We start from the raw sequence: 9,454 nt of genomic DNA on the forward strand, positions 1-9,454 counted from the left end.
ATATTCATTCACTCATTCATTTTCAACATAAGTATTGAATGTCTGCTCTGGGCCAGGCGTGGGCTAGGCATGAGAGAATCCCAGAGAAATTACAGTCTGGGAGCTAGGTGCCAGGTAGCAAGGGTGCAGTCTGCTCTTTCCCTTCTTCCCCCGACCCACCACACCCGCCCACCTCCACCCCCAACTTCCAGGCCTAGCACCTCTGGAAATGAGGGCAGGGAAAAGCAGTACAGAACAGGCAGGGGTGCTCCCTTATCACCTGCTGGTGGTAGAGAGGTGGCCTCAGTCTCCCACTGCCTTGGTCTGATTCTGTTGCTGGATACCTAGGCAGATGTGATGGTCTTTGCCTATAGGAGCTATGTAATTTTCTTGAGATAAAGCTCTGCTTCATCTCATCCAACTTCATTTCTGAGAACCCAAACTCAAGTTATGCATATTAAACTCTTCTAGGATATCTCTCGTCCTGCAGCTCTGGGGTGGGAGTGGGGGCGGGACCATAGTAACCAACCAGCTGGGGAGTGAGGTTTCATTTCCCCCTCCTTGTAGCACTCCTAATCTAGATGAATGATTTTCTTAAACACACACTCCCGTTGTTTTTTTTTTTGCAGGGGAGTGGGGATGTTGTCAGGGGTAGGGAGAAATATACCCTCTTCCCTCTCCAATGGCAAGGATGCAGGGAGACATGTATAACTTTTGGCCATGTGTCGTGTGTCCCACAAGATACCTTATATAATGTGAGATAAGGAGGATACCTGGGCTAGTTGAGGGTAGTGAGACAAGTTTGCAACCTTGTGATAGGCCCCCTGGGCCACTTTCTAAAGTGAAGTCAACTTTAGACTTCACTTGTAAGTCTAAAGTACATGATGTTTCACTTCTGGTTCCTAACTCTGAGGTTACAGGGAGAGACCCACTCTGTTCTACTTCATGTATCACAGTTCCTGAAATGCCATTGGTTAGAAGTCCTTTGGGCAAACAACTGACCTTTTCTGCAAATCCTTCTTATCTAACAAGGCCCAGCCTAAATGTCACCTCCAAAACCTTCCTCAACTTCCACCCCTAGGAGAGTAACATTCTCTTTAGTACTTATTTTGTCATAGGACTTGTCAGACTCTATTGTAATTAATTATTATGATCATTTTACATTTCTCTCCTGTATCTTGCTGGCTAGCATGGGGTCTTACTGATCTTTCATCCTCAGCTCTCAATAATGGGCATTTATTATCCTCAATAATGTGTGTTTTGGGATGATGAGGAGCATTCAGAGAGCCATTGTAATTAGGAAGACACTTCACGTGGTTTCCAATACAGACAGGCATTATTATTGCCACGTTACAGTTGAGAAGATTAAGCCACAGAAAGTTTAACTAGCCCCAAGTAATAGTTAAATGGCAGAACCACAGTCAAACTCCAAAGACAGTGGTCTATACTAGTACACATTACTGTCAGGCTACATCCAAATTCTTAGAAAATAATTTGGACTCATCTCTGGGTACAGATAAATGAGCTTTTGAGGTCACAGAATTCTGCTTCATCTAGTGTGGCACCCGTAATCACAATTTCATTAGCACAAAATAACTGCTTTGAGCTAAGCAACTCACTCTAGAGGCTTCTGAGTACTCAATCAGATTAAAAGTAGGTGCCATCCACCCAAAACTGTTACTTCGGTTTTAAGTGAGTTGAGGAGCAGCATGTGGCCCTTATTGCTGGCTGTTTACTAAGGCCGTTTCGAGGTTGTGAAAACAAGCCTGATCCGAGTATAGCACAGTGGCCTGAGAGTGAGGACCCCGGAGTGTGACGGGTCTGGTTCGCATCTGCTTCACTACTTGCTAGCTGTGTGACCTTGGGAAAATTAACTTCCCTTTCTGAGCCTCACTTCTCTTTTCTGTAAAGTGGGGAGTATAATTCCTACTTCAATGTTGGACAGACCAAATTACAATATGTGTACACATACATACCCCTGGCACAGGGCCCTCAACACTAGCAGCTACTATTGTGAATTTCTGAGAAAGAGGATGCATGTCTTTCTATTCCCTAGAGCAGGGCATCTACAGACAGCTCATGCAAAAGTGTATAATTTAATTAAGGAAATATTTCAAGATAAAGAAAACTCAGAACCTGTCCCTATTTTATTCTGCTGGATATTGTAAACTGAACCATGAAGAGACTCCAAGGCTGAAGCTAGTATTACTGTCACTTCCATGGCTCTATGCGGGCTCATGATTCCCATATGGAGGTCAGGAAGCTTAGTATGTGACCAATTCTGCCTAAAGAGTCATTAGCAAGGGAGGGTCAATAAAGTCACAATCTTATATAAGGCATGCATCCTTCCACCTACACCTCTTCATCTTGTACCAGATCTAGATAGTGTCTCAGGTAAGCCTAAGAATCTGAGCTCAGAAATCAGATCACCTGGACTCAGATCCTGACTCCAACTTAGTAGCTGCATGACTGAGGACAAGTTATTTAACCCAACATCATGTTGCTTGGGGAAGTTTCCTTTGATGACAACACAGATGGGCAGAGATGGGCTATGATTTATGTCTTCCCTCCCAGCATGTGCATCCTGGGTCATGACACAGGTATTTGGAAGCTTAAGCCCCAGTAGGAAGCTGACCTTTCTGGATTCTATAGACCTGTGTTTAGCATTAAGTATTTTCAAAAAAGCTCTCTAAGCCAAGGGAAACAGCTTCTTCTGCCTAATAATTAAGACTTCTAAAGAATGGTGGCCACTTTGAATGACAGAGAGAAATGGGGCAGGGAGAAAGGAACTGGCATATACTGGGCCAGTTCCTTCTGTGTGCCAGATTTTACCCCCCACCCCACATGCAGATCTCCTATCGCTACCCCCTTTAAAGATCAAAAACATTCTCAGAGGTTGTCTTCATTTCACACACGAAGAGACAGTAGTTTGCCCAGGTTTACACAACTTAATTCCCCAAGTCTTTCTGATTTCAAATCCCAAGCTCTCTCCTTCACATGACACTGTTTATGACTTTTCCTTACACACCCCTGTTTACCTGATTTTAGATCCAAATATTAATATTACAGGGCTCAGGTCTTGGCCTAGGAACAAGGACTGGCATCCTCTTTTCTTCTTCCCCCAGTCTTCACAGAACTATCTAGAATTCCTCATTCAGTCACACTGTCTGAAATGTTAACAAGTAGAGACTTCCTAGGGTAAAAAGCCTCCTGGCACATTCAGATGTAGGGAAAATCCCATATTTGATTATAATAACATTTTACTTCCTCTTTCCAACTTGAAAAAAAAACTCAAGCCTTCTTGTATTACAGGTTCTCAGAAATGTTGATCCATCTTTTGTATCTAAGTTTTTATTTCTCCTTTTGCAAAAGCTGCTCTAAATACCAGCTTTGCTGCTCCGTAGGCTCTGAATGGTCAGAAGAACATTCACATTACGAGGATGACTCTGTGGAATGCTTGACCACTAAGTTTGGTAAATAGCTGGTCAGTCTTTTTCACTTTAGCCACAGCTGGGGAGGAAAGCCTCTATATGAGTGGCAGAGGCTGGCTGGCTGTTTACCAGACTCATTTCTTCTTTCTGAGGACACAGTAGCTTACATTTCCTAGCTTTCTTTGCCATTGGTTTGCTACAGCCATGCAATTGAGTTCTAGCTAATGGAATATGAGCAGAAGTGATCCACTCCACTTCCAGTGTGAGACCCCTAACTCCCCTGCTCCCCATGCACAGCCTTCCACTGTCTTCTTCCTATTGCTGGCATGAAGCACATAAGCAAGCTATCTTGGAAGCCATGTGTTGAAGCTGGTGAAGACTACAAGATGGAAGGAGCCTGGTCCCAGAATCACCACTTGGAGGAAAGCTGCTTGCTGTTCAAGTACTCCAGTTTTGGATTTCACACAGGGAGGGATAACCAGTAAGGGATAACAAGTTAAACCAGCAAGATTTGGGTTTCTGACCCCCTAGTTGACCAACAGATCAGCTGACCCCCTTCTGATCCCCTAGCTGACTGACAGATTCATGAGAACTACTGGGGGAACCCGCCCCCAGTATTTCAGCGTTGGTTCTTTCTATTTTCCATAAGTATCAGCCGGCTGAGAAATAATGAGAAAGAGTACAAAGAGAGGAATTTTACAGCAGGGCTGCTGGGGGTGACATCACATATCGGTAGGACCGTGATGCCTGCCCAAGCCTCAAAACCAGCAAGTTTTTATTAAGGATTTCAAAAGGGGAGGGGATGTATGAACAGGGAGCAGGTACAAAGATCACATGCTTTAAAGGGCAAAAAGCAGAACAAAGATCACATGCTTCTGAGAAAACAGGACAAGGGCAAAAGCAGAACTCCTGATAAGGGTCTATGTTCAGCGGTGCTTATATTGTCTTGATAAACATCTTAAACAACAGAAAACAGGGTTCAAGAGCAGAGAACTGGTCTGACCATAAATTTACCAGGGCCGGGTTTTTCCCCACCCTAATAAGCCTGAGGGTACTGCAGGAGACCAGGGTGTATTTCAGTCCTTAACTCAACCGCATAGGACAGACATTCCCAGAGCAGCCCTTTATAGACCTCCCCCCAGGAATGCATTCCTTTCCCAGAGTATTAATATTAATATCCCTTGCTAGGAAAAGAATTTAGCGATATCCTTCCTACTTGCATGTCCATTTATAGGCTCTCTGTAAGAAGAAAAATATGGCTCTTTTTGCCCAATCCCACAGGCAGTCAGACCTTATGGTTGTCTTCCCTTGTTCCCTAAAAATCGCTGTTATTCTATTCTTTTTCAAGGTGTACTGATTTCATATTGTTCAAACACACGTTTTACAATCAATTTGTACAGTTAACACAATTATCACAGTGGTCCTGAGGTGACGTACATCCTCAGCTTACGAAGATAACAGGATTAAGAGATTAAAGTAAGACAGGCATAAGAAATTATAAAAGTATTATTTGGGAACTGATAAATGTCCATGAAATCTTCACAATTTATGTTCCTCTGCCACAGCTCCAGCCGGTCCCTCCGTTTGGGGTTCCTGACTTTCTGCAACAGAGAACAATTGTTATTTCAAGCCACTGAGCTTTGGGACAATTTACTTTTGTTGCAGCAGCTAATTAAGACAATGCAGATTCTCATTGGAGAATCTAATGATTCAAAAGTCAGTTAGAATGGCTGACATTGACAAGTCAGCCTAACCTCTTTCTTCTACCAACACCATCACTACCACCACTGCTGCCGCCCTCCACTGTACTCCTAAAGAGAGTGGCTACTTTTGGGGATTCTTAATTTCTTGAAGTCACTGTGTGAAGGCCAAAGCAACTCCATGTTGTAATCTGCCATGTTGCCTTCAGATTAACCTCTGCTCTGGGAAGGCCATTAAAATTTCCAGTTTGTGGCCGGGCGCCGTGGCTCATGCCTGTAATCCCAGCACTTTGGGAGGCCGAGATGGGCAAATCGCAGGGTCAGGAGATCAAGATCATCCTGGCTAACATGGTGAAACCCTGTCTCTACTAAAAATACAAAAAAATTAGCTGGGCATGGTGGCAGACGCCTGTAGTCCCAGCTATGCGGGAGGCTGAGGCAGGAGAATGGCGTAAGAGAATCTGGGAGGCAGAGCTTTCAGTGAGCCGAGATCATGCCACTGCACTCCAGCCTGGGCGACAGAGCGAGACTCCATCTCAAAAAATAAATAAAATTTCTAGTTTGTCTGTTATTCCTTGTGTAACAGCACATACTTACTGTAAATTCTGCTCTTAGGTCAAAACAACTTTGGTGTTATCATACTTTAATTGTTCTACACATCACTTCTGAATCATGTATGCCCTTTTCCTGTGGTATATCAGCCCTGGGTCTGTGGGGTAATGGTGCAGGGATCCACCATCTCATCTCTCCACCACCAGAGACACAGACATGGCTTCTGTTTGTAGGTCCCTATTAAATGTTACCTTCTAAGAGATAGGATTTGTCAGCCTCTTTCTTCAGCCTCTCAGCTTCCTTGTACTTTGGGGGTAGGTTTGCATAGACCTGCCTGCCATGGAACAATTATAAATTTTTTTCTGAAAAAATGGCAGTGTTATAGTTGTGGAATACTATAGTCATGTTACATTTAGGAAGTGCCAGCCCATGGTGTATTTCAGATGTAATTTCATTCCTTCCTATTGGCTGGTGAGGCCGGAAGACTTTGGGGTGACATCATTGTGCACTTTGTTGGCATAGAAGAAGGTAATATTTGTGAGTCTTGGGGTTTCAGCATGAAACTGAGAAAGGGAAGTTCAGTGAAGAGGAGAAAAAGGGTAGAGTGGACACTTTTTTTTTGGAGTTGGACCAGCCTGAAGTAAGTAAAGATTTCTGGGCCACCAATGACTGTCCATTGCACAGATCCAAGCATACCAGTCAGAAAGCAGCCACTTCCCAGGGAGCATCATGTAGATTTTAGACTCCAAGGATACCACAAGCCACTATCAGGTGAGAGGTGCAATTGTTACAACCCAGCATAGAGGTCCCCTCTTTATTTCTCAAAGTTTTGGGAGAACCCAAGACCCATAGCCTTTATTTTAGGGACTGTTTAATCATCTTGGCAGAGAAAGAGACTACGTAATTGACTCAGGTCATTTGAGATCTTAGCATTAACCAAGATCCTGTAACACAGGCAGATTTAGCCCTTTTGTTTCTATTTCTATATTTAATATAAATTTATATTAAATTCTTGCAAAAATTTAGCTTTTGGCTAAAGTCAGCTTTTGGCCACAGCTGTTGATCAGCAGGGAAACAGAAGGAGAGGCCTCTGATGTCAGTAAGGGATTTTCACACTTAGCAAGCAACTCTTGTGGCCAGTTGCACAAAAGCAGAGTTGTAGTGAGATATCCAATTCCCATTAGAGAAATAAGGGAGCTGGAACTCAGAGAACATAAGTGATTTGCTCACAGTCAAGGCTTGTGAGTGGCTGTGCTGGGACTGGAGTCAGGCGAACATGGCCCTGAGGTCCATATTGAATAGAAACCTTCTCTATGATTCCTCAACAGACACACATACCCATGCTGTTTCAGGTCCACTCTCAGGTTGCTTCTGCTGGGGCCTTATGTGCCTGAGGGCAGAAACTCATAATCATTTGAGGACCCACAAGGTGTTGCAGTCCAGCATGACCATTTCAGACTCCAGCATGATATTTCAAACCATATAGGGTAGCATCCTACCCTATATGATTCCTAGCTGGGGCCCCCATCACCAGGGAAATGGTGCTGGTTCTCACCCAGAAATAGATAAAGAGGAAGTGTCTCTGCTGAATAAGAACAGGTATGCATGCCTATCCCGACTCCCTGCTCCCTGAATGAAGCAGGGCCTCCTGGCATCGCTTGATGTTTGTGATGCTATCCCCGGTTGCATTGGCAGCAGCCAACACCAGGGTTTTCCAGTGGCTGAGGTCCAACACGTGGTTAATGTCATTGCCTTTTCCTCCCTTCCTTGGGATCAGGGGAATAAATGTCTCTTACTTAGAACTGTTCCACACAGACTTAGAGTGACAGAGAAGTAATTTAACCTATTAAAGGCCATTTTGAGCAAAAACCACCTTGTGTCACTGAAGCTGTAGAACTGAGCCACAGGAGGAAACTGTTAAAGTCGCAGGGTCAAGGACAAGGTACCTATGTTATCCCGATGGCATAGAAGCACAGCCTGAGTCTCTTCTTTGGCTGAGCCAAGGGCGTGCTGGAGAGGCCTGAGAGAAGAAGGAACGGCCCTTCTGACCAGTGCCCTTTTGGTTCACAAGGAACGTCTCCTCTTGTTTAAGTGATTTGGCTGAGCTTGCTACTTCTGCTTTGAGAGTCAAATATCAGGATCAAGACTTTAATTATCCCCAATTTACAGATGATGAAACCATATTGGGCAGGAAAGAAAGTCACCGCAGGAGAGCGAGTTGGACCTGGGCACTGGCTGAGGACAAAGGGGAATGATAATTTGGGATGTAGCTTGTTAAGGGGCCTCCCAAGTGTTCTTGTGATCCAGGTGTGGAGAGGATAGAGCAGAATGGTTGCCAGGGAGATGCAGGTAGGGTGCACTGCAAGAGTGGGAGAAATTAAAGAGAACATGCAACAAAGCCTTGGGACAGCGGGAGGGGGATGGACCACCCTGTTTTGTGCTACGAGAGAAGAGAGCAAGAAAAGGAATCTGTGTTAAATCCCGACAGCCTGCAGGAGAAGCAAATGCCCTTCCTTTTGTTCATCAGCAGTGAGACTGGCATCCCTGTAGCTTTGGGAAACTGGCCAGTGTGGATGCCAGCTCCCTCCAGCGGGCCTGACTGGGAGACCTTGGGCTGGGGTTCTGGTCTGGGGCTCCTAGGCCTGATGGGAGGAGAGTTCAGCCCAGGTTTCCTGTGCTTCAGCTCGTATCCAGATGATGGTAACTATTGAAATGAGAGACTCAAAAGAAGCTGGAAACTGCATTTTTTGTTGTCCCATGTGGACACCTGTGTTCAGTTCCTAGTTCTACCTCTTGCTGTCTGTGTGTTCTTAGGTAACTGACTTAAACCTTTCTGAGTCTCATTTTCTTCATTTATGAAATAAAAGACATAACACTTATGTCAGATATTGTCCTGAGGATTAAATGGGAGAATGAGCAAGACTCTTCTGCATTCCCCTTGCGTCCAGTGGGTGGAGGCCAGAGAAGCTGCTAAACATCCTGCCAGGTGCAGGACAGCCCCCATCACAAAGAATTGACTGGATCCTGATGTCAGTAAGGCAGAATTGAGGATCCTTGGTGTGGGGGAAAAAGAATAAACTCGGAAGCTTGGCAGATCTCAATTCAAACCCTGGTTGTACCACCTCTAGCTGAGTGACCTTAGGCAGGTCTATGAACTCTCTGAGACTTGGCCTCCTCATCGATAAAATGAGGGAGATAAAACTACCAAGCTCACCAGAAATAACCCCATGCATATATGGTCAACTAATCTTTGACAAGGTCATCAAGGATACACAATGTAGATTCTTTTATTCCTTTACTTTCTTAATAGGCTTCCTTTCACTCTACTTTTACAAAAAAGAATACACAATGTAGAAAGGAAACTCTCTTCAATGAATGGTGTTGGGGAAAGTTCCTGCAAAAGAATGAAATTGCACACTTGTTTTACATCATATACAAAAAATTAGCTCAAAATGGATTAAAGATTTAAATGTAATATCTGAAACCATATAACTCCTAGAAGGAAACATAGGGAAAATATCTTCTTGACATTGGTCTTGGCAATAATATTTTTTTGCCATAACACCAAAGCACAGGCAACAAAAGCAAAAATAAATAAATGGGACTATATCAAACTTAAAACGTTTTACATAGCAAAGGAAACAATGACAAAATGAAAAGGCAACCTATGGAATGGAAGAAAATATTTGCAATCCATATATTTGATAAGGGGTTAATTATATAAGGAATTCACACAACTCAATAGCAAAAATTAATAAATACATAAATAACCCAATTAAAAATAGGTAATGG

The 9,454-nt window shown here is 43.8% G+C and overlaps 2 annotated features.

The window, feature by feature from the left end:
- Positions 299 to 368: an enhancer, noted in NCBI's record as "active region_12523". NCBI's record gives its function as "activates an Ori minimal core promoter by ATAC-STARR-seq in GM12878 lymphoblastoid cells {active_cell/tissue: GM12878}" and the evidence as "EXISTENCE:reporter gene assay evidence [ECO:0000049][PMID:35858748]".
- Positions 559 to 768: an enhancer, noted in NCBI's record as "active region_12524". NCBI's record gives its function as "activates an Ori minimal core promoter by ATAC-STARR-seq in GM12878 lymphoblastoid cells {active_cell/tissue: GM12878}" and the evidence as "EXISTENCE:reporter gene assay evidence [ECO:0000049][PMID:35858748]".

Source organism: Homo sapiens, chromosome 17 (assembly GCF_000001405.40).
Source record: "Homo sapiens chromosome 17, GRCh38.p14 Primary Assembly".
NCBI lineage: Eukaryota > Metazoa > Chordata > Mammalia > Primates > Hominidae > Homo > Homo sapiens.